The sequence below is a fragment of the Homo sapiens genome, chromosome 13 (assembly GCF_000001405.40).
Source record: "Homo sapiens chromosome 13, GRCh38.p14 Primary Assembly".
Taxonomy (NCBI): domain Eukaryota; kingdom Metazoa; phylum Chordata; class Mammalia; order Primates; family Hominidae; genus Homo; species Homo sapiens.
The window spans coordinates 52,008,829-52,033,601 of record NC_000013.11 but is presented as its reverse complement, the minus strand read 5'-3'; the positions used below and the strand labels follow the sequence as shown (position 1 = coordinate 52,033,601).

The window sequence follows — 24,773 nt, the reverse complement described above, 5'->3', positions numbered from 1 at the left end:
CTTAATGTTTCACAAGCAAGACAAACTTTTATTTTTGTTTCTTCTTTAATTGGCATATGGAGCTTGGGAATATTAGTAGGAGAACAAGGAGACTATGTGAGGCATATAAAAGGCACCACACTGGAAAGAATCCAAGAGAATGAAAAATCACTTCTTTAAATAATATTTAGACACAGACTTTGTATCTATATTAGATATAAATCATGTCTAAATACAAATCTAAATAATATTTACAAATAATTATTACACAAAACCTATGTAACACACACTTTATAGTACACAACTGTAAATAAGAATACAAATCTCCACTGCTGTGGGTTCAAAACAGCAGGCTTGGACCACTCAAAAATGACATCTGAGAGGAATTAATAGTCATCCTGAAAGTTCTGCAGACAGACGCTAGCGGACAAACCACTTTGACACTTTTCATGCTATCATTCAGAAAAAAATAGAATACATGTAATACCAAATTAGGAACACTGATAATGAACATATATGCAAATTATATCTTCCAATGATATATCTGTGATATATGAAAATAATTTTGAAGAAATAAGCTTAAAATATAATTTACGGAATTCCAGAAAACTTTTTCTTCCTTCACTACATCCTCAGGAATAAGGCAATTGAGTGGATAACAGTTTGAATCTTACTTCAAAGTGTAGCTACAAAGTAAGAAAAAGCACTGGGCCAGGAGTCAGAATATCCAGGTTATAATCTTGATTCTTTCATGAAACAGCTTTGTGACACTGAAGGAATCTACTAAATTCTTTAGATTTAAATTGTTCTTGTCTGTAAAGCTGAAAATAAGAGAGAACTGGGCTAATCTGTAGGGTTCCTTTCACTCCAATTTCTACCAGTCTTTTTCTAAATGGGATCATCTCTAACAAAAAGTTACAATGGTGTGTCAGAACATCCTGTGACTGACCCTCTGTTTGCTGCTTTTTGATCTGATGACAGATGGCTTGGAGATGTATCAACAACATAATTGGGAGTAGATAAGCTGGCCACATTGATGAATGACTGAGAGGAGACTGCAAAGAAATAATATACCGTTTCATTTGCCCCTTAACACAAAGATGAATCAGCCTGTGGATGGGGTCAATTCACTGAACTAGAAAGGATTGATTATATATGCATAAAGTGCAAAAGCTATAGGTCTTTATAGCCATATCTGCTCACACATATATTCACTTTTCCATGCTAGTTATTCAGGATAGAAGGTGCATTAAATTTATACCAATTCCTAGCTACTGGCCTAGTAACTAACAATCTACAGAGTTGTAATGCATTAATAAATATAGGATTATAGAAGACATTTAGTATGTGATGTTACCTTTAAGTAACTCTCATAATTTTCTTTTTCCTTTTTTTCTTTTTTGAGATGGAGTTTTGCTTATTGCCCAGGCTAGAGTGCAGTGGCACAATCTTGGCTCACTGCAACCTCTGCCTTCCAGTTTCAAGCAATTCTCCTGCCTCAGTCTCCCAAGTAGCTGGGATTACAGGTGCCTGCCACCAGGCCCAGCTAATTTTTTTGTATTTTTAGTACAGACAGGGTTTCACCATGTTGTTCAGGCTGGTCTCAACTGCTGACCTCATGATCCACCCATCTCGGCCTCCCAAAGTGCTGGGATTACAGGTGTGAGACACCGCACCCAGCCCTTAACTGTCGTAATTTTCAAAGTAGTTTCATCTACTTTCCATCTCATTCCAACTCTAAAAGGTAGTAAGGACTGGAATTAACAACTCCAGATTACAGATGAAGAATCTGAGACTCAGAAAGATAAAGGAGCAGCTTTAGTGTCAAAAGGTCAGAAGTTTGTAAATGAAGAAGCTGAAGGTAGGCCCAGATGTGCTAACTGCTTGCCCAGCGCTCTTTCAAAATGCCACCTTGCCATCTTACAATGCATTATGCTGGTAATAGATACCCTGTGGATGTATCTGTATATCATATCATCACTGTCAGAAAAACAGCCTGAGGTTCTCTTGAATGACTTAAAGCTGACTTCCAGGCTGAGATGCGGCACTGTTAAGGGACAATGAGAGACCCACACAAATGTGCTGACAGCATAAACAAAAACAATTTTCACCAGTACCTAGTATGGAAAGGATTGCTGGCAGCACCTTGGCCTCTACCACCCTACACACACCTATAAAGCATCAGTCAGTCCCACCTCTTGACTGTATGCTTTGAGAACACGATTAAACAAGTCTGTTTAAAATTTCTTTTTTAAGGAAATCATTAGGTATATTCAAAAGGGTCATCCACTGTATTGTTTAGAATTTAAATGTACTAGAATTTTTCTGTGTTCTAATGTCTGATCAATTCTAAAATGCTAGTCAATTAATGGTCATCCATTTTCTTTTTTTAAAAAATGTGGCTCAACTACATGCAATGTGCTGAGCCAGTTTTGGAATCCACCCTGTAGCAGAGTAAAACTGGACCAAAGGAAGTGGAATCAGGGCCCCTGACTGTCACTTCTCCAGCTACACAACCTACAGTTTTTCTTCTTTATTGTGACGTGTGGTGATTCGTTTTGGATTCCTCTGTATGACAGGCAGGTCTGACCTTGAGGAAGACTGGTAGCCCACATCCTCTGCTTTTATGGGCTTAATGATATGGCCTGGCTTGGTGACGACCTTGGGAGTAGTCAGCTTTTGGAAAGCCCTCTGGGTGTTCCATGTGGATCCTATAGGGGTCTGGATGGTCCTTTCAAATTGCCGATGGTGGGTAAATGGATATGGAAGCACTTGTACCTGATGAGCTGCTGCGTGGATGTTGCGCTTCTCACTGATAATCACATTTGGCAAATTCTTATCTTTTCTTGGAGGACCCTCAGGGGCTTTAATGAGAAACTGGCGTCTTTTCTTGGCACTGGGCTTTAGGCCCACACCACCCCACTCGCCCCAGCCAGGTAGTGTCAGGTCCACGTCCTTTGGCTTACTCGCCTCCACAGCTTCCCTCTTCTCTTTCAAGAAATCTCTGATGACATCATCCCCAGCAAAAGCTTCCTTTATCATCTGCCTTTGGTCTCTCTCCTCTTCATCTTCCAGCTCCTCTATTATTGTGGGAACTGCCAAAGACCTCACGGAAGGAGACTGTGTGGTCAGGAAGTTCTGTAGGTTGATCAGTTGCTCCTTCTCTTTCTTCTCCTTAGGGGCATCAGGCCGATTATTTGGGGTCCTCTCTGACTGCTGTCCTTCTAACACAGGTCTGGGAAGCTCCTTATTTTGAAAACAATCTTCTTTTCCCAGCTCTTCTAGCTCTTCCAGAGTTTGTACTCTCTCTGACCTCTGTAGCAATAGGGGTTCCGCTTCTTCTGGGGCAGGTTCCTCTCTCTGGACCTGGGGAACAGTCCCCTCTGAACTTGCTTTTTGCTTCCTGGACTGATGTTTTTCCTTCAATTTCTGAGATAGTGCCCTCAATTCGGACAGCACCTCCTGGCTGCTAGAATCTTTTGTTTCTTGACTGCTTGCTGGCTCAGCATCCTGGTTGAGCTCAGATCTTTTTCTAAGGGATTGCCTTTCCTCAAATTCTCTCAACAAAATTTCTTCCTCTGCCACTGGTCTTTCTTCTGCCTCACTTGCAGAAACCTCATGAGCTGCAAGCTCTGGCACTTGCTCAGGGTCCTCCTGTGTTGCAGCCTCTTTGGTGTCACTGGTGCAGCTCCTGAACATCCAGGGATTCGGTCCGTCCACATTCATCTGCACTTCATTCGCTACATGAGGGACAAGGAGTTCTTCCACTTCTGTGCCTCCCTCCTCTTCCTCACTCTCAGAGGCTACCTGGAGTTTCTGTGTCAGTTCTTTGTTCTTGGCCAACTGTTCCTGCATAGCTTGGCGAGCCTCCAGGTCATATTTGGCCATAATTGCCTTTGACTTGGCCCATTTCCCACTGTTTTGGTGCTTAAGGCTCATTCTTTCCATCATTCTGGCATTTTCAATTTTTTCCATTTCTTCCAGTGCCACAGTTGGATTAACCTTCTGTAGCTGCTCAAACTCTTTTAAGGCTTTCTTGGCCTTTCCTTTCTTCACGACTTTGTGATACTTTTTACTTTTGATTTTCTTCTCTTTTCGAGCCTTGGCCTCATAGTAGGACTGCAGAGCCCGAGCCCTCTGAAGCTCTGCTCGGTGCATCTTTGCCTCTTCCAGGCTCATGGCTTGGAGAGAGGCCTTTTCCATGGGAGTCAGTAAAGGATCTGTCACTGGCTGCTTGTTCTTATGGAGGAGGTTAAAAATTTCCTGCTCCAGGGGAGTTCTTGCCTTCCAGCCACTGAGCGCATGTTCAATGGGAGCAATGGCTGGCTGCTCCTTCCCCAGGGGAAAAACCAGCTGCTCTGCCTGCTGGTTCTTCAGGATGATAGGGTCCCATTTGGAGAGGACCTGTGAGGTTTTACTGAATGCTACTTCTCTGTGGATCTGTTCAATTTTTTCTTTGTTAAGAGGTAACTCCACCACCTTCTTTGATTTGACTCTATTCAGTTGCTTTTTTACAGTGGCCAAAGAAGATGAAGTTTTAACGGGCTCAAGCAGATCTGCAAGGCCCAGCTTTTCTCCTGATCCTTCAGAACTGACACTGAACTCTGACACTTTCAGACTAGCCTCAGACCTCTCAGCCAATTTCCGCCTATTCTTTCCATCAAGGGAAATGATTGCTTCCAGAAGCTTTTGATGCTTTCTCTCTCCATCACTGTCCCCCTCATCTTCATTTTCACTCAAGGGGTAGTTTTTTGGCAAATCCACTAGTTCTTCCTGGTGGCTCAAAGCCAGATTCTCTGCAACCTGGTTCACATTCATCTCAGCAGCCAGCCTCTCTCATGTATACCAAGAATGGAAGCCGAAGGCTAGTCATCCATTTTCTTTTCAACACTTCCTTTTATTCTAAAAGGAAATTTTGTCTGTTTTCTAAAGTAAAATGATTTGACAAATGAGATTGAATTTAGAAAAATATTTACATATGAAGGTGTTTAACCAGTTTATATAAAATATCTTTAATTTTACAGATATGGCATTACTTAAATAACTTTTCCACAGATGATAGGAATGTCACTTCAAATTCCTGATCAGAGAATCTGCTTACAGATGCACGAGCACTTTTTCTGATTTGGAGTCTCTTTTCTGCAGACATGGAAAGAATGTGAGCGATAGTTTCAGCATAGTCTTCTTCACTCTCAGCCAGAAAGCCAGTTATATCTCCTTCGTGAGGAACCACAATGTCAAGCTTTGGGCCCCCCGAATTGTGTGCAAGGATAATTGTGCCAGCTGCCATACACTCCACAACTCCTGAGAAAAAAAACACAAATCATGTAATCTTTTAAGTTTTTGAGTGTGTTCATAAGAATGAGGATGAATAGAAATCTTCAAAAAATTTAAGGGACTTATGAGAAACTTAATTAAATGTATGTCTAGACATTTGCTTATTCAACTTCTACAGTACAAGATAAAATAATTTTAAGTTTTTTAGTTTTCAAAGCTTCATAATAATACTGCTTCACTTTTTTTTTTTTAAGAGATAGGGTCTCACTATGTTGCCCAGGCTGGCCTCTAACTCCTAGCATCAAGTGGTCCTCCCATCTTGGCCTCCCAAAGTGCTGGGATTTACCAGCGTGAGCTACCACACCCAGCCTGCTGCTTTATTCTTAGTTAAAATAGACAAGTAGATGGAAGACTAGCCTATTAAAAAAGATATATTGCAGATAATTAAAAAAGAAGACTAGAGAATGTTAGCAAGATGGTAGAATATTAACAGGTATTAGAAAAACAAAAGGAGTAAAAACATATAAAAAACAATTTTAATAGTTCAAATTACATTAGCAGAAAAAATAAAAAAGTGAATCACCTAAGTGAAGCATACTATCGCCGTGCTTATGTTACTGCCTGGATTTCTGGCATATTTGAGACTACTGCATGCCCAACAACAGTGCTGAACTAAATGAAAGTTGTGGTTAGTTTCTGCCAAATGATACACATGAAATATAAATTACTCTAGCCAGCCCTTCTTAGCCATATTCCTAGGAGAATTAAGCCCTTCAGGGAATGATTCAAGTGACTGCTTTCCCAATTATCTGAAGGATGGTACAGAGCTGATATCATCCTGGATGTATAGGAGAGAAATTAAATCATTCCAAATGTTTTTAGAACTGGTGAAATCCCTGCAGAACAGAATTCAGTAGCTCATATCATATTCTGCTTGAAGCTGGAGAGCATCCTGTACTTTCTCAGAGACCTGCATCTTTTACCCTTTCCCTCTCTACTGGCTCCTTCCTATCAGCTAGGAAGCTAGGGCACCACATGCCCTTTCTCAGGTCCTGCAACACCCACCCCTAGCCACTGTCTCTTCTCCCCCTCCCCGTACTTCACAGATAAACTTACTGAAAGTGTGGTTTGCACTTACCAACTCTACTTGTTCACTTCTGAGTGCTTGACTTTTGATTTTTGCTCATAGTCTGACTTTTGCTTCTACTTCTCCCTCAAGACTGCTCTTGCCCAGGTCACCAGTGACTGCCTTACCTTCCCCAGCATCTGGGCAGCATCGGAATCTGTGCCCTCTCCATTCTTCTCCAAACACTCTCTTCCTTGGTTTCTAAGACACTGCACTTGGATGGCTTTCCCCGCCTCTCCATTTCTTCTCCCCATTTCTCAGCTGTTCCTGTTCTCTGCATTTTGTACTGAGAGCCTCTTTTCACTCTGTACATATTCCCCAGGCGATCTTAACCACATCCACGGGAGCTTTGATAACTACCTGCACAAGGACAATCCTCATTTTTTATTTCCAGACCAGACTCCTCTCAACTTCAGACTCCTATATACAAAACTACCTCCTGGACGCATGCCCTCACATGTCCCACAGATGAACTCAAATTCTGCAGGTTCAAAACTTGGCTCATTAATGGCATTTGCTCTTGGATTTCCCCTCTGGGAGAAAGCCAACACCATTCTCACAGCTGCCCTGCTCCCAAAACCCTAGGTAGTCTTCTCTTCCTCCCTCATTTAACACATCCAGTTAATCACCAAGTCCTGGTCAATACTACTGCAGAATGTTTCTCAAGCATGTTCACCTACGAAGTTCAGCTCATGAGCACCTCCATCTGGGCTGCTACAGTAGGCCGGCTCATCTTACTGCCCTTCCAGTCTTGCTCTCCCTGCTCTTCACTGATCCACTCCCCATGTGGCCAGAATGGACTGGAGAAATCAGAAAGCTTTTACGTGCAATACTTAAAATCCTGCTATTTTTTTCCACTGGCTTAACCTGGCCTATATCACCTCTCTGTTGTCTTCCTGCTGAATGTTCCTATTGATGCATCTGTTGTCACTCCTGTCACAGTGCTGTTCCCTCTGCTGGAGACTCTCCCCTCTCTCCTGGCTAACCTCTATTGTTCGGGTCCTGCTCAAGTGTCACATCATTTCCTTGGGCAACTGTTCCCTGCCCGCACAAGTCTGTGTTAGGTTTCTCTTTGGCGCTTTCACATCACCCTGCACTTCCTTAGCATAGCACCTGGCACACGGCACAGCACGGCACGGCACTTGCCTGTGTAGCCTGTTGGTACCACCAGAGGGTGGGAAGCCTCTGACAGGCCAAGCAGCTCCTGTCTCCACCACATCCCTAGCATCCACCCAAGCGCTCAGCAGAGTGAATGCTTAGTAAGTTTCTATGGAAGGAAGCACAGGAGGTCAGATCCCATGCAACAGGTTGGGTCAACAAGTTCTTGCTTAATGTCTGGGCCTAGCACTACACTACTAACTAGGAGTAAAAAGAGTATAAGAGAAATTGAAGTCTTAGTTTAGGAAATGTCACTTTTATGTTATCCTCATTTCCCCTAACAACTAACAGTGTGAGGCACAAAGCGCTTGAGAAATATATGTGGACCCAAATTAAACACAAAGCAGTACTTGATTTTATAGCAAAATGTGTGCTTAACAGGTCAGAATAGAGATAGCAGTTTGTGCCAGAATAAACAAGAAAGGCTAAAGTGCAAGGAGATTTAAGTTGAAGACTTATGATGCAATCTGGCACAAAGAGGAGAGCCATTCCAATGGTGAGGGTAGAATCAATAAAAGACTAAAAGAGTTACTGTGAGAAGCCCCTATGCAAACAGTGGTTCTCAACTTTTGATGCATAACAGAATCACTTAAGCAGCATTATCAAAATACATCTACCTGGGCCTTGTCCAGAGATTCTCATTTGGCCATTCTGTAGGATTAGGGTAGGGCCCAGGAATCTGTACCAGTAAGTATGTAGTGGGGTTAGATGGAGAGAGAAAATGTTGCTGTTAAGAGCAGGGGCTATCTGGGTTAGAATCCGGGCTCTACCACTTACTGTGTAACTGAACTCGAGCAATTTCTAAACCTTCCTGTGCCTGAGTTTCTTTATTTATAAAATGGGAATAACAATAACACCTATCAAACGGGTTTAGAAAGGCTTAAATTAGATAATACATGTAAAAATCTCAACACAGTGGCCCACACACAGGAATTGGTCAATAAATACTAGCTGCTATTATTAACTACTATCTTACAAGGTCTCAAGTGAGGAAAGCACATTTGGTGGATGAGGGCAAGAGAATTAGGGCATGATGCAGATTTCCAGAGTATTATCATTTTATCAAAAGAACTTAAAATGTGTATCTCATGGCACCAAACAAGTTGTTTAAAGGCCAAACTCACCAATCCCAAAATGCTCGTTCCACATGGTATGCAGACCAATTGTTGCTTCAGACAAATAATTCTTTAATTCATCAAATGGAATGTTTATTTTAAATTCCACATATTCTTGAACTCCTAAATCCTCAGACAGCCTTCTCAGTTGGTTTACCCTAAGTTCATCATCTTTGTTACGACAACCTCCAATGAGGACAAGTTTAAGCGAAGGAGGTGACTCAACCATCTTCTTATTCAGCAATTTAGCAAAGGCTCTGATCTGCAATGGATGATTCTTTTCCGGCCTAAACTGGCCAACAGAAACCAGCAAATGTCCTGGGGTCATCTTTTTCTCATGTAAGGGAATGTCCAGAAATGTCTGCACATCACAAGGTGGATAAACAATGTTAGTGCAATTCCCAACTTTCCATAGTGAGAGAATATGGTTTAGTGTCCAAGAAGAATTGACCATGACTACATCACTGCAAGAACCAACAAGTCCATAAATAAAAGCAAATAAATAGTAGTAGATGAGCTTTACTTTGCTGAGAAAAGGATTCCTGGTAATGAAGGCTGCATTATTAAATCCAATATTTTGATTCTTCACTACAGAGAGCATGTCGGTGCTGATAGTAGGATAATGAACATAGCTTCCAACTTGGCAACCCCCTATATACTTAAACAGAGGAAGCGTAAAAGCGTATCCCATTGAATCAATGTAAACATCAGGAACACACTGCATTAGAGCTTCCCAGCCAAGAAAAATGGATCCTAGACTTTGGCCCAGCAGTGTGAAGTGAGGATACAGTGAATCTTCCACAAGATAGCGTTTCCTTAAAAAAACAAACTGCACTGGGTGAATTAATCTGATGTTAAATCTTCTGAAAGCACCTTCTAGTATCTGTTGACCGTTGACATTAACATCGCCGGTATAAACAACATAAACTGCTTCAGGATACCTAAAATAGAATGTAATGGTTAAGAATATATTAAGTTACAAAAATTAGCCAGACACGGTGGCACGCACCTGTAATCCCAGCTACTCAGGAGGCTGAGGCAGGAGAATCGCTTGAACCCAGGAGGCGGAGGTTGCAGTGAGCCGTGATCATGCCACCGAACTCCAGCCTGGGTGACAGAGTGAGACTCCATCTCAAAAAAAAAAAAAAAAAAAAGCCTGCTACCTACCCTGAGAGACTGAGAGCCGAGACTGCATCACTGCACTCCTGCCTGGGCAACAAGTGTGAAACTCCGTCTCAAAAAAACAAAAACAAAAACAAAAAAAAGAATATATTAGGTTAAAATCAAGCAAAAAGTTGTAGATAACTATTTTCTTACAGTTATAAAGAAGATTTGATTTTTTTTTTTTTTTTGGAGACAGTTTCACTCTTGTTGCCCAGGCTGGAGTGCAATGGCGCCATCTTGGCTGACAATCTCTGCCTCCCGGGTTCAAGTGCTTCTCCCGCCTCAGCCTCCCGAGTAGCTGGAATTACAGACATGCACCACCACGCCCGGCTAATTTTGTATTTTTAGTAGAGTCAGGGTTTCTCCATGTTGGTCATACTAAAAATGATGTTTTCTACATTTTTTATTGAATTAGAAGTACAGTCCTTCAAATGAGACCATGACTTCTAGTTCTTTGCTATTTCCTCCACTGAGGGTTTCACACAGAACAGGCATCAACAGTAAGTGTTGATTTATGAATGAGATGGTCTAAAGAAATACTAAAAAGTTTTGACAGTGTTCTTAGTAAAAAAAATGGTAATAAAATACTATAAACAAGAATTAAGATTCAACAAACCTGTCTTCAGATAGGATCACAATACTAAAGCAATACTCAGGGTTTTTATCTGAAAAATGCAAGTCTTTAAAAGCTAGATCTTGTGCCTATATCACAATTAGATATAATTAGTATGAAAATATCTAAAAGTATATTCTTTAATGACTTGTAATACTTTGGTCTCCCTCTGTTTATAATTATTCTTTGAGTCATAAAACATTTATTGGCTGGGTGCAGTGGCTCACGCCTGTAATCCCAGCACTTTGGGAGGCCGAGGCGGGTGGATCACCTGAGGTCAGGAGTTCAAGACCAGCCTGACCAATATGTGTGGTGTGGTGGCACATGCCTGTAATCCCAGCTACTTGGGAGGCTGAGGCAGGAGAATTGCTTGAACCCAGTAGGCGGAGGTTGTGGTGAGCCAAGATCGCACCACTGCACTCCAGCCTGGGCAACAACAATGAAACTCCATCTGAAAAAAAAAAAAAAAAACAAATTTATTAAGCATCTAGTAATGAGATGCCAGGTTTTGGGGGTATGGAGATGAGAGAGAGTCTTTATCTTCAGAAGTTCAGTCCAGTGGAGAAAACAGACATGCAAAACAAATAACTGCAAAACTGTGTGCTACGCATTGATAAAGACACCCACAGGATGCTGGGGAAGCCTAAAGGATGACAATCTAACTGCTCCTCTCTGGCCCCTTCCCAGTCACTCTTTACCCAGCAGCAAGAATGAGCCTTTTAAAATGTGAAAAAAGATTGTGATCTCTGGTAGCCTAAAAATGCCCACAAATTCCATTTGTTTTTTCTTTCTTTTTTTAAGACAGGGTCTCGCTCTGTCTGTCGCCCAGGCGGGAGTACAGTGGCGTGATCTTGGCTTATTGTAGCCTCCACCTCTCGGGTTCAAGTGATTTTCGTGCCTCAGCCTCCTGAGAAGCTGGGATTACAGATGTGTGCCACCATGCCCAGCTAATTTTTGTATTTTTTAAGTAGAGAAGGGGTTTTGCCATGTTAACCAGGCTGGTCTCAAACTCCTGGCCTCAAGTGATCTGCCAGACTTGGCCTCCTGAAGTGCTGGGATTACAGGTGTGAGCCACTGTGCCCGGACGGGCCACAAATTCTTTGATACTTTTCTCACTGAGAGGTGGCATCTAAGTCCCCTCCCCTGGAATAACACCTGGCTCTGTGACTATTTTGACCAACAGAATATGGCAAAAGTGACATTGTGCCAGTTTCCCAACATAGACTCTAAGGGACTGGCAGCTCCTACTTCCTGTCTCCTGGAATGCTCATGCTAGGAGAAGACAGCTGTCATGTACGGAGTCCAACCAGCCCGAGATTGCTATGTTGTATGCAAGCACAACCAAGTCACATGAAGAAGCTCCTCAGTGAGAGAGATGCCCGACAGCCCCCAGCAGGTCCAGTTATCCCAGCCCAAGAACCAGAATGTGAGTGAAAAAGGCTTCAGATGCCTCCAGCCCCAGCTGCCATCTAATTGCAACAGTATGATGGAGACCAAACATGGCAGCCCCTAAACCATGTCACAGAACAGTAACCCCAAAACTGGTTTACTATAGCACTTAGAATAAAATCTAAACTAATTTCCCTGCTCACTCAAGTCCTGTGTGATCTGGAACCTGCCTCCCTCTGTCACCTCCCTTCCCATGCTCTCCTTTGCCCTCCAGGGTGCAGCCAAACTGGCATTCTTTTTTTTTAACACGCCAAGCTCCAACCAGCCTTAGGGGACTTGCAGTGGTTGTTCTCTCTACTCTGAATTCTCTTTTCTCATTTTCACTGTCTTTTCATAAGGCAGGCAGTTTAGCATGTGGTTCAGAACATGGGCTCTAGTGCCCCAGTTTTCTTCTTTGTCAAATGAGGATAATGGTAACAACTGCAAAAGGCTGTTCTGAGGATCAAGTGAGCTAACACATGTAAAGCACTTCAAACAATACCTAACATACAATCATCACGCAGTGAATGCAGCTGTTTTTGTCATTCAGATTTTGATTGTTATCAGATATTTCCCTGATCACTCTATCTAAAGTATCAAGTCACTCCTATATTACCCTATTTTAACTTTTTATATAGCACGTCTCACTATTTGATATTTTTCTTCTTTGCTTATTATCTTGTCTCTCTCAACTAAAATCAAACGTCCAGGAGAGAAGGACTTGATCGATCTTGTTCTCTTAATCTCAACCCCCAGAACAGTGCCTGACACATAGCAGGTCCCCAATAAATACTGCTAGGTCGAATGAAAAGTGCACTGTAGTATGTGTTGAGTTAGGAAAGGCTTGTAGAAATTAACTGGGGAGAAAAAGGTTATTTCAGAAGAAAAGAACACTATATAGAAAGGGAAGGACTCGAGAGAGAGCATGATGTGTTCAGGGAGCTGCTCCTTGTTCTGCATGTCAGAGTAAAGTACCTGTGAAGGAATGGGGAGGGATGAGAAACGCAATGTGGCCAGAGCAAGATGAAAAAGTATCTTCCAAGTCATATTAATGATTTGGTTTTTTTCTCCTTGTAGATGGGTTAGGAGTAATAGAGGCTGCTGGGGACTATGTGTACAGATATCATGAAACTTTACCACCGCCATCAAGAGGTAGATAATCTGGTTAGAGAAGAAAAAAGTATTATCAACGAGAGTAGGAAAAGCATCACGGAGTTGGGAATTATGAGAATTCTTTGTATTTAGGCAGTTACAGAAGATGGCAGAGCAAATACAGGGGTAGGGCCTGGAAGCTAGGATGGGCCAGGATTACAGAAAAGTATAGCTGAGGTAATTCTGTGTGAAGGCCTTGGCACTGAATGAAGGGTGTGTACCAGGAAGTAGGGTAACCATGAAGAGTAACAGTTTTCCTCATATGATAAAATAATGGAACCTACTATGCTTTTTCCTTTCTAAAAGAGAATCATAAATATTTTGGGGGTATGGGGGGTGGTGATGACGAAGCCTCAAATATTAAAAGATGTATAACACCATATTCCTTCTAACATGGTAAGTTGAGACTATCCAGCTGGTAATGATATAAAAATTTGAGTCAAATAGATACTTTCATAAAGATTATTCCTGTGTGCCACAACTGCCTGAAAGTATTCAGGCTTAAAGTGCTCTGACATACTTGGTATATTTCTGTCAATTACTTAATCTCTTCTGTATATGCTCTCCCAAGGGGACCAGTTATTCCCATTAATTTATGCCATAAAAGGGCAGATGTTTTCCCCATCCACTGTCCATTTCTTTCTTTCTTTTTTGTTTTCCCTTGAGACGGGTTCTCACTCTGTCACCCAGGCTGGAGTGCAGTCAGTGCACAATCATGGCTCACTGTAGCTTTGACTTCCCAGGCTCAGTCAATCTTTCCACCTCAGCCTCTGGAGAAGCTGGTGCGCATCACCATGCCCAGATAATTTTTTGTAGAGACAGGGTTTCGCCATGGTGCCCAGGCTGGTCTCAAACTCTTGGGCTCAAGTGATTCACCTGCCACGGCTTCACAAAGTACTGGGATTACTGGTGTGAGCCACCATGCCTGGGTTTGTCTATTTCTTTATCATAGTAACTAAAGTCAAATAAGATCATATAAGGTATGTGGGCACATGAAAGAAATATTTTCTTATTGAAGAACAGTTTAAAAAGGAATTCATTTTTTACTTTAGGTACTTTAGAAAGATGAGGCCGGGCACGGTGGCTCACACCTGTAATACCAACACTTTGGAAGGCCGAGGTGGGCGGATCACAAGGTCAGCAGATCGAGACCATCCTGGCTAACATGGTGAAACCCTGTCTCTACTAAAAATACAAAAAATTAGCCGGACGTGGTGGCGGGCACCTGTAGTCCCAGCTACTCGGGAGGCCGAGGCAGGAGAATGGCATGAACCTGGGAGGCGGAGCTTGCAGTGAGCCGACATCGTGCCACTGCACTCCAGCCTGGGTGACAGAGTAAGACTCTGTCTCAAAAAAAAAAAAAAAAAAAAAAAGATGAATTTCTGGATAATAATTTTTAAGAAATGGAACAATATAGCAAATTAGCTAAGAAAGATGGATACCTACTTTTTCTGCAGGGCTCTTAAAGCACACCATAAAACTCTTTCTCCTCCTCCACCAGCATTGCAGTATGGATGAAAAAATGCAATCACCATTTGATTTTTCCCATTTTTGCTAGTTGACACTAATTTTTTCTTTCTCTGTAGCAGCAGTCTGATTCCCCAAAGGACAATGACCAAACACACACATAAAGTTCCACATACAATGAGCCCAGGGAAGAATAATGAATAAAAAAACCTGAAATAAGAGGACAAAGTTGAGAATCAATGTGATATATACATTAAAAAAATTACAAATTAAAGTCTGCTTTTACATATCTACTTTATATATTAGTAACAAAGAGAGAATTGTCTTTAACGAGTCTGCTAACAAAATACTCAAGTATGAAAATTCTAATGCTGCTAAATATCCAACATTGAAAGGATAAGTCCCCTTTAGTTCCAATTCCTGTAGCATGTTACCAATTGAACATACTTTAATCAGCAGTAAAAATCAACATTGAACCCCCTTTCTCCTGACTTAGTATATATGTTATGGGATTAAAACAAATTTAACTATTAATCTAAACAAGACATGATTAAGAATGTGTTATATACTGTCATTTTGAGGGTCAGATGCCAAAAAAAATATGTCTTTTGAACGATCAATATTCCACTAAAGTCTGGTAAGATAGTAAATCTTTTTCATTCCATCACTTCACCTCAAGTAGAACAATTTCTGGGATAAAGGAATGGAACTTAGATTTCTCCACTTCTATTTCCAGTTCTGTATTTGCTCTATTTACATGATCTAATACTACTACCTTCCCTTATGTACCTCTGAATGAGCTGCCAAAAACCCACTAATGTTCTACTTAATACTCATTAGTAAACTCATTCACAAAGTGACTGTTAAAAGGTTCTCCATTGCTGTCAGGTCGATTGAAGCTCTGCAAAAGCAAGGGCCCAGGCTTGCTCATACCATGTCCCCAATGCCAAGTACGATGCCTGGCACAGAGAAGGCATCCAATGAATATATGACGGATGCAAAAGTTTATTACGTCTTCAGATGTTGCTTAAAATGTGTTAAAATAAAATGCCAAGGTGCTTTTCTTTTAGGGTTGCCAATACAGTTGGAATCTAACTTAATATTTTTCATACTCTGCCTATCCTTTATAAAGGATTTGAGGAGGGCTTATAAGATTTAAAAACAATAAAATGCCAAAAGTTAAATAATAAAAAGTCAGGACCAGTGAAAATAGAATAAAGATGGTGTGTATGTTGGGATGGTGGTTGATGATGGACACAGGTATGCAGGCTGTATTTACATACATAGTAGTGAATAGCAGACTGGGCTCTGGGCTGCTCAGTAGCCTAGGCAAATAGGGGATGTTTTGTGTAGTTACACAGTGTATTACTTCGTTTTCACACTGCTGATAAAGACGTACCCAAAACGGGGAACAAAAAGAGATTTAATTGGACTTACAGTTCCATATGGCTGGGGAGACCTCAGAATCACGGCAGGAGGTGTAAGGCACTTCTTACAGGGCAGTGGGCAAGAGAAAAACGAGGAAGCAGCAAAAGCGGAAACCCCTGATAAACCCATCAGATCTCATGAGACTTATTCATTATTATGAGAATAGCATGGGAAAGACCGGCCCCCATGATTCAATTACCTTCCCCTGGGTCCCTTCCACAACACATGGGAATTCTGGGAGACACAATTCAAACTGAGATTTGGGTGGGGACATGGCCAAACCATATCATTCTGCCCTGGCCCCTCCAAATCTCACGTCATCACATTTCAAAACCAATTATGCCTTCCCAACAGTCCCCCAAAGTCTTAACTCATTTCAGCATTAACCCATATGTCCACAGTCCAAAGTCTCATCCGAGACAAGGCAAGTCCCTTCTGCCTATGAGCCTGTAAAATCAAAAGTAAGCTAGTTACTTCCCAGATACAATGGGAGTACAGGTATTGGGTAAGTACAGCTGTTCCAAATGGGAGAAATTGGCCAAAACAAGGGGGTTACAGGGCCCATGCAAGTCCAAAATCCAGTGGGGCAGTCAAATTTTTAAAGCTCCAAAATGACCTCCTTTGACTCCAGGTCTCACATCCAGGTCATGCTTAAGCAAGAGGTGGGTTCCCATGGTCTTGAGCAGCTCTGCCCCTGTAGATTTGCAGGGTACAGCCTCCCTCCTGGCTGCTTTCATGGGCCGGCGTTGAGTGTCTGAGGTTTTTCCAGGCACACGGTGCAAGCTGTCAGTGGATCTACCACTCTGGGGTATGGAGGACGGTGGCCCTCTTCTCGCAGCTCCACTAGGCAGTGCCCCAGTAGGGACTCTGTGTGGGGGCTCCAACCCCACATTTCCCTTCTGCACTGCCCTGGCAGAGGTTCTCCATGAGGGCCCTGCCCCGGTGGCAAACTTTTGCCTGGGCATCCAGGCGTTTCTATACATCTTCTGCAATCTAGGTAGAGGTTCCCAAATTTCCATTCTTGACTTCTGTGCACCCGCAGGCTCAACACCATGTGAAGCTACCATGGCTTGGGGCTTTCACCCTCTGAAGCCACAGCACTAGCTCTGCATTGGCCCCTTTCAGCCACGGCTGGAGCAGCTGGGACACAGGGTACCAAGTCCCTAGGCTGCACACAGCACAGGGCCCCTGCACCTGGCCCACAAAACCACTTTTTCCTCCTGGGCCTCCAGGCCTGCCATGAGAGAGGCTGCCATGAAGGTCTCCGACATTGCCTGGAGACATTTTCCCCCATGGTCTTCAGGATTAACATTAGGCTCCTTGCTACTTTTGAAAATTTCTGCAGCCAGCTTGAATTTCTCCTAAAAAAATGGGTCTTTCTTTTCTACTGCATTGTCAGGCTGCAAATTTTCTGAACTTTTATGCTCTGTTCCGCTTTTAAAATGGAATGCTTTTAAGAGCACCCAAGTCACTTCTTGAATTCTTTGCTGCTTAGAAATTTCTTACACCAGATACCCTAAATCATCTCTTTCAAGTTCAAAGTTCCACAAATCTCTAGGGCAGGGGCAAAATGCCTCTAGTACCTTTGCTAAAACATAAGAGGAGTCACCTTTCTCCAGTTCCCAACAAGTTCTTCATCTCCATCTGAGACCACCTCAGCCTGGATTTCGTTGTCCATATCACTATCCGCATTTTGTTCAAAGCCATTCAACAAGTCTCTAGGATGTTCCAAACTTTCCCACATTTTCCTGGCTTCTTCTGAGCCCTCCAAACTGTTCCAGCCTCTGCCTGTTGCCCAGTTCCAAAGTCGCTTCCACATTTTTGGGTATCTCTTCAGCAGCACCCCACTCTACTGGTACTAATTTATGGTACCAAGTTCATTTTCACGCTGCTGATAAAGACATACTCGAAACTGGGAACAAAAATAGGTTTAATTGGATTTACAGTTCCACATGGCTATGAGGCCTCAGAATCATGGCGGGAGGCATAAGGCACTTCTTACATGGTGGCAGCAAGAGAAAAATCAGAAAGAAGCAAAAGCAGAAACCCCTGATAAACCCCATCAGATCTCGTGAACTTACTCACTATCACGAGAATAGCATGGGAAAGATTGGCCCCCATGATTCAATTACCTCCCCCTGGATCCCTCCCACAACATGTGGGCATTCTGGGAGATAAAATTCAACTTGAGGTTTGGGTGGGGTCACGGCCAAACCATATCACATAGTTTTCACTGCCCACATGAAAACATACAAATTCATCAGAAAAGTAAATTTTGCTTTTTTTAGATACAGGGTCTCACTCTGTCACCCAGGCTGAAGTGCAGTGGTGCAATCATAGCAATCACTGCAGCCCCAAACTCCTTGGCTCAAGCGATCCTCCTGCCTCAGACTCCTGAGAAGCTGGAACTACAGGTGCATGCCACCACACCCAGCTAATTAAAAAAATGTTTTTTGTAGAAATAGGGTTTTGCTATGTTGCCCAGGCTGGTCTCAAACTCTTGGCCTCAAGTAATCCTCCTGCCTTGGCCTTCCAAAGCATTGAGATTACAGGCATGAGCTGCTGCACCTGGCCAGAAGTAAATATTTTATTGATATTTAGTTTTGACATAAAGTTCTCATGTGGGATTTCCTATTGTGAACAAATCCTCATTTGTTCCTATTGTGAACAAATCTCATGTGGGATTTCCTACTGTGTACTTGAAGAGGTATTTGACTCTATTTGAAATCCCACATGAGCACTTTATTTCAAAGCTGAAATAATTGGTCTAAAATAATTTGGTCTTTATATTCTTTATACACCTTTATACTCTTAAAAATTTTACTGAGGATACAATAGAGCTTTTGTTTACATCAGAGTTTCTCATCCTTGACACTACTGACATTTTGGACCAAATAATTATTTGTTGCGGAGGTTGTCCTATGTATTATATTTAGTAGCATCTTTGGTCTTGACCCACTTAGATGCCAGTAGCACCCTCCCAATCAAAATTATCAGTTGGGCATGGTGGCTCATGCCTGTAATCCCAACATTTTGGGAGGCTGAGGTGGGAGGATTGCTTGAGCCCAGGAGTTCAAGGCTGTAGTAAGCTATGATCATGCCACTGCACTCCAGCCTGGGCAACAGAGCAAGACTCTTATCTCTAAAAAAAAAATTAAAAAAAAAAAGCCCTCCAGATATTGCCAAATGCCAAATGTCTTGCGAAGGGCAAAAATCACCCCTGGTTGAGAACCAGTGGTTTACACTGCTTATATCTACCAATATTTAGCATATTAGAAATGAAAACTAAAGAACTTTAAACTTTTTATGAATTCATTTGAAAATAAAAATTCTTTCATAACACATTAACATATTTTTATTAAAAAACTATCTTTTCCAAACCAAAAAAAGAAATTTAGCAAGAAGGGTGCCAATGATTTACACTTTTTGCAAATCTTTTTAATGTCTGGCTTAACGTGAAACCAGATAGTGGCTCCTCCTTTCTGTTTCTGCATTCAATCTAGTGATATGTTGTTTTTGTTGAAGTATATGAAGAAAATTCAGGCTAACTTAGACATGTAGTAGGAAAAGGGAGTATATTTTAATATATATTGATCTTATGTTTAAAATATATTTAACTTTTCAGCTAGTTACAGATATTCTTCTCTGATGCTAGACCACATTTGACAAGTTATGCAGTTTCTTAATGTCAGTTGCAATACAGACTCTGAAACCCTATCAATGACCTTTTCACACTGTTAATTAAAATCCACTATCACTTAGTTTTATCCGCTATCACTTTTGCACTTATCAACATAGTAAAATAGGCAAATATTACATTAATGTTATTATAAAAACAGATTTGTTGAGGATCCATTGAAGGGCCTTGGGACCTGCATGGTCCATGGAGCACAATTTGAGAACCACTGCCTTAAAGGATGAACAGAGTCTGACAAAAGTGGTAAGATTTATCATTTATTTAACATTTGGAATATATGAATTCATAAAAGCAACACTACAGAGGACAGTTTGCTTTCTCAGGACACTCTTTCAAAAGCTTATTTAAAATGCAGCTGACCCATATAATGTAAAGGTTTTTCTGGCAATTCCTTCAAATAATTTAGGTGGGAAAATTCATGTGACAAGCTTTTCAAACTGAACTATTAAACATTTAACTTAAAAGCTGCATAATAACTAAAGTTAAACCTGTCCTTTAAGTCTGGTTAGTGAGTTTATTTAAACATTATAATGTAAAGCACTGAGGAATATTACGTATGACAGGGAAGAACCAAAAGGCTCTGATAACAGACTTTCTCATTCAAAATGTTTAAAGTAATGATTACAGAATTTGAAGTAGAGTGGACAAAAACGAAGAAGAAATGCCTGAACTTTTGAAAGAATTAGGTATATACTGCTATTCAGGAAGCTATGGTGTTAATTATAAATTTTCAGCCTGAACAAAAATATGTAGGTGGTAAAAAAACTAGGTAGGTAGAATATACTAGGCCTTCTGTTTTATTAGTGGAGGGCAAGGCATTTAAAATACAGTAGTACTACAACAACAAAGGTGGAAAAAAGCCTGGGAGTTTTTTCACCAAAATGTTAACAGTGGCTATCTCCGGATGGTAGCATTCCTGGGGTTTTTTCCTTTTACTTATCTATTTTCTAATTTTTCTAGAAGAAACAGCATATACACGTAATACAAATAAAATAATATTTTATGTAACTTCTTACATCATAAAAATTAAAGTAACAGATTATCAAAAAGCAGAGGATTCAACATAAGCTTTATATTTAAGTGACGTGTTAACAATGGCAGTTTTGGTGAGTTTAAGAGTAGAAACTAAGATGAGAAGGAAGATCCGGTTTCTTCTTTACCGAAAAGAGACATGATAGATTGGAAAATGTCTCGTGGCTCAATCGTAAAGAAAAATAAGGAATGAATATGAATAATTTATGACAGACTAACTGGAGTGTGAAAGGGAAAAAAAAAGCTGAAGCAGGGAAGGGAACTCGACCCCTCGGCCAACAGTGAAGCAGAAGAAAACGCGGTAAATTGAGTCTTTAAGACCTAGTCTATTCCAGTCTATATAGAAGACCCCCAAGAAAAAGAAAGACTGCTCATTGGCCTGAGAAATTACCTTAGATTCATGACAAGGAAGGCCATTTGCCCGCAAAATTTAGCTACACTGGACGGGCAAGTACCCCTACAGAAGAGAAAACGTCTGTGAGCCCACACGACCGGCTGCTCACCTCAACAACTTGCACAGGCACCAGCTCCTTTCGCCGGCCGCCATCTTCCGCCGACCCCCGAACTCAGGAAACGCTTCACTTTCCTTTTCCCTATTGGCTCCTGAGAAAGCAAGCCGTGCTCGCCCCGCCCCCACGGGCCAATTGTGCGTTACTATTGGTTACTGGTAGCCGCTTCCCACGGCCTTCCAGCCAATAGAATATGCCGAGGCGTAGACTAGTGTTCGGCGTGGCGCACACGGCTCCCGCCCCCGTGGGCGGGACAGCAGTGGGGGGTTGGGCTGAGGAGGGCGTGGCCTGTGATTGACAGCCGTCGCTCCCTCCCTCGGCCACCTCCCCCACTAGAAGCCCCCGCCTGGGCGCCTGCGCCCCCGTTCCCGGCCCAAAGCCCGCCGCCCGTTGGAGGCCATTGGCTGGCCTTTGCGCACAGCGGATCGATTTTCCAGGTGCGGAGTTCACTCTTGCCGCGGTTGCTTCCTTTGGGACCCACGGCGTCCGGCAGCCAGGCGCAGAGTCCGAGGAGGGGGCAGCGCAGAGCGGACCCGACGCGGCGCCGCCGGGCACCTTCCCCGCAGGCGGTGGGTGAGCCCTGGGAGCTGAGTCTGCGGCCCGGCTCTGCGCAGCTCACCTGCCCTCCCGCTCCCGCACACGCGTGAGATCCCAGTACAGTGTCGGAGCGCACCAGCGCGAGGTGGCCGAGACCGCGGAGGAGGACAGGCCTCCGCCCTGCGGCGCCGGCACGGCAGAGGACATTGTGGCACTGGCACGGCAGAGAACACTGTGGCACCGGCGGGGCCGGCAGTTCCAGGGTGGGCACTCCCAGCCACCTGGGGAGTGGGCGAGGGTCCGAGGCCCACTCTCCCCTCACGCTCTCATCCCCGTGCCCCCAGGTCGGGAGGACGGCGGCGCGCAACTTTGAATCATCCGTGTGAAGAGGGCTGCGGCTTCCCCGGTCCCAAATGAAGGGGCGGTTCCCGGACCCCTGTTTGCTTTAGAGCCGAGCCGCGCCGATGCCCTCACACTCTGCGCCTCCTCTCCCGGGACTTTAACACCCCGCTCTCCTCCACCGACCAGGTGACCTTTTGCTCTGAGCCAGATCAGAGAAGAATTCGGTGTCCGTGCGGGACGATGCCTGAGCAGGAGAGACAGATCACAGCCAGAGAAGGGGCCAGTCGGAAAGTGAGTTTTGTTCCCCCGCGTCCGCGCAGCGTGCTCACTCCCACCAGGAGGATTTTCCTCCCCGCGTTCGGCGCTTACTCGCCCCCAGGGGGTGCGCAGGGAAGGCCGAGCCAGACCCCAGCTCCAGGGATGTCTTGGCGTGGGAGAAAAGGACCCTTTAGAAAAAGTGTGCCGTCAACTGATGTTTGGGAGCAATGGAAAACCCCGCACCTCAAAATTCATCTTTATGCTTTTAAGGGGTCTGATGCTGGAGAGATAAAGTGAGCGTCGAGTTGCTGTGCTAGAGCCCTAATGGCTCAAAACGATGAAGTTAGTTACCTGGAGAAGTTACTCAGAGCCTGGTGCTTGGACCAGATATGGTATATCGAGGTCCTGGAACTTTTATAACTGTTTTAAATTCATTTTAATTGTACAAGTAATACATTAAGACAGTCTTTTAAAAATGGAAACAGCACAGAAATATTTTGCACAAAAAGCAGATCTATTTTTCAGTCTTTTTCTATTCACGTACATATGTCTTCATTCGGCAAATATTTATTGAGAACTTTCTATGTTTCAGGCACACAGTGTTGAGTTGATACAGTGGTTAACAAGACATGTATCTATATGTAATATGCACACATTCAGAGAAATCTTTAGGTTTCATTTGTATGAGGTGTTAAAATTTTTGTTTTACCTAAATGAGATCACTGTATGTGCATTCTCTTTTTTCAGTTTAACGATATATCTTAGAGATTGTTTCACTAACTGTCTAATTCAGTGCAACCTCTGCACAGTTTGGACGCATCATAGTTTATTCATGGTTTCCTAGTGGTGGACGTTCTGTTTGCTACTTTTTTTCTCTCTCTCTTGCAAGTGAACATCTTTGTACATGATTTTTAATGCTGACACTATTTCTTTAGGATAGATACTTAGGCCTGGATTGCTGGACAGAACAGTAGGCTGTTTCTTTTCCACAGATTTCTGAAACTAATTCACTGACGTTGCTGGGTGCCCTTTAGTAGTGAATTCATCTAGGCTCCGGTGATACAGAAATGAAAACTAACGGATTAGTGGACAGACAGAGAGAGGCTGGTTAGTAGGTGGTTTGTAGGGTATGATGACTATGCATTTGATAGGAGTATGAAGAAATGTTGGGAGGGGTGGCTTGTACAGAGGAGATTTCAACTTCCTACAGTGTCCCCACCTAGAGAAAGAAATCATTATCCTTCCAAATCAAGCTCAAGACCTGCCACCTCCTTGAAACGTTCTGTAACTGCTCCTGCCCATGTTGACCTGTCTTCTGGAATCCTCTGATAATAGCGTTGACCAGCGTTATTGAGCTTACTGTGTGCTGGGCATTGTGTTAGGCACTCATATCCCTCTATGTGCACTCTCGCGTTTAATCCTCACAAAAACCCTTTGATGTAGGTATTATATCTTGTTATCAACATTTATTCAACAAATTTTTTTGTGTGTACTATGTGCTCAAACACATAGTACTCAAAGTTTTAGACACTGGGGATTTAGGTAGGACCGAGACCTTGCCCTCATGAATTTACATCCTAGTTGGAGATAGGAAAAAAAAAGGGATAAACAAATGTATAGCGTAGGAGTTAAGGGAAAACTTTTGTGCCCCGTGAAGCGTCACTGAAAAATCAACTGACAAATGGCAGATTAATAGGAGAGAAGGCATACACATTTACTAACGTGCCGTGAGAGTCTTACAACATAAGATCTCAAAGGAAGGCAAGGTGGTTGCCACAATTATACTATCCTGAGGTTACAGAAAGTGTGGGGGCTCTAAGCTTGGCCAAAAACAGGTTATGGTTGTAAATCAGGTTATAGGAGGGAGAGAAGAGGAGACCTGGCTAGCAAAGGTGGTCTTATGTAGATGAAACCTCACAGGTAGCAGCCCTCAGGGAGAAGAAATGTTTCAGACCTTGAAGGTGCCAAATTCAGCTAATCTCACCCAGATCCAGACAAGGAAGGGCCCTCTGAGAAAAACTGGCTGCGTCAATGGAGGTTCTCAACAGATGCTCATCTCCCTCACAGTAGGACTACTTTTGTCTGTAGGCCCTCTGAACGGCCATCTCAAAATATTTCCAATAAGTCTGTTTTGAGGTGAAATGTTTTAGTTTCCTTCAATAGCTTTATTTCAGGTACTAGTAAGTACTATGAAGAAAATAAAGCAGTTTGGGTCCAGGAGTTCAAGACCAGCCTGGCAGCATATCAAGACATCGTTTATACAAAAAAAAAAGAAAAATTAGCTGGGCATAATGGTGTGTGCCTGTCGAACCAGCTACTCGGGAGGCTGAGGCAGGAGGATGGCTTGAGCCCAGGAGTTTGAGGCTACAGTGAGTTGTGATCCCACCACTGCACTTCAGCCTGAGTGATAAAGCAAGATCCTGTCTCAAAAAAAAAGAAAAGAAAAGAAAGCAGAATAAGGGAATAAGATAGGGATTGACATGGGTGGAGA

The 24,773-nt window shown here is 42.7% G+C and overlaps 3 protein-coding genes across 40 annotated transcripts in view, besides 5 other annotated features; 1 reads left to right on the top strand and 2 right to left on the bottom strand.

The window, feature by feature from the left end:
* Window positions 2-8,911, bottom strand: UTP14C (UTP14C small subunit processome component). The gene is made up of 2 exons (NM_021645.6): window positions 8,665-8,911; window positions 2-5,283 (listed from the first exon to the last, which is right to left on the bottom strand). The coding sequence occupies exon 2, from the start codon at window positions 4,795-4,797 to the stop codon at window positions 2,497-2,499; it is 2,301 nt and encodes a 766-aa protein (NP_067677.4). The 5' UTR covers window positions 4,798-5,283; window positions 8,665-8,911; the 3' UTR covers window positions 2-2,496.
* ALG11 (ALG11 alpha-1,2-mannosyltransferase) lies at window positions 2-21,204 on the bottom strand. Of its 2 annotated transcripts, NM_001004127.3 has the most exons (4): window positions 21,140-21,204; window positions 14,459-14,689; window positions 8,665-9,596; window positions 2-5,283 (listed from the first exon to the last, which is right to left on the bottom strand). In NM_001004127.3, the coding sequence occupies exons 1-4, from the start codon at window positions 21,181-21,183 to the stop codon at window positions 5,012-5,014; spliced, it is 1,479 nt and encodes a 492-aa protein (NP_001004127.2). In that variant the 5' UTR covers window positions 21,184-21,204; the 3' UTR covers window positions 2-5,011. The 2 variants fall into 2 exon arrangements, 1 of the variants encoding a protein (NP_001004127.2); NR_036571.3 differs by lacking the exons at window positions 8,665-9,596; window positions 14,459-14,689.
* Window positions 20,946-21,035: an enhancer, noted in NCBI's record as "active region_7786". NCBI's record gives its function as "activates an Ori minimal core promoter by ATAC-STARR-seq in GM12878 lymphoblastoid cells {active_cell/tissue: GM12878}" and the evidence as "EXISTENCE:reporter gene assay evidence [ECO:0000049][PMID:35858748]".
* Window positions 21,086-21,215: an enhancer, noted in NCBI's record as "active region_7785". NCBI's record gives its function as "activates an Ori minimal core promoter by ATAC-STARR-seq in GM12878 lymphoblastoid cells {active_cell/tissue: GM12878}" and the evidence as "EXISTENCE:reporter gene assay evidence [ECO:0000049][PMID:35858748]".
* Window positions 21,336-21,435: a silencer, noted in NCBI's record as "silent region_5380". NCBI's record gives its function as "represses an Ori minimal core promoter by ATAC-STARR-seq in GM12878 lymphoblastoid cells {active_cell/tissue: GM12878}" and the evidence as "EXISTENCE:reporter gene assay evidence [ECO:0000049][PMID:35858748]".
* Window positions 21,446-21,555: a silencer, noted in NCBI's record as "silent region_5379". NCBI's record gives its function as "represses an Ori minimal core promoter by ATAC-STARR-seq in GM12878 lymphoblastoid cells {active_cell/tissue: GM12878}" and the evidence as "EXISTENCE:reporter gene assay evidence [ECO:0000049][PMID:35858748]".
* The window catches only part of ATP7B (ATPase copper transporting beta), a 79,464-nt gene continuing 76,160 nt past the window's right edge, over window positions 21,470-24,773 (top strand). For 24 of the 37 annotated variants that reach the window (NM_001243182.2, NM_001406548.1, NM_001406524.1 and 21 more), the window contains exon 1: window positions 22,152-22,315. In NM_001243182.2, coding sequence (NP_001230111.1) covers window positions 22,265-22,315 — 51 coding nt within the window. In that variant the 5' untranslated portion in view covers window positions 22,152-22,264. The other 13 variants (NM_001406541.1, NM_001406531.1, NM_001406527.1 and 10 more) reach the window with 4 other exon arrangements.
* Window positions 21,606-21,945: a silencer, noted in NCBI's record as "silent region_5378". NCBI's record gives its function as "represses an Ori minimal core promoter by ATAC-STARR-seq in GM12878 lymphoblastoid cells {active_cell/tissue: GM12878}" and the evidence as "EXISTENCE:reporter gene assay evidence [ECO:0000049][PMID:35858748]".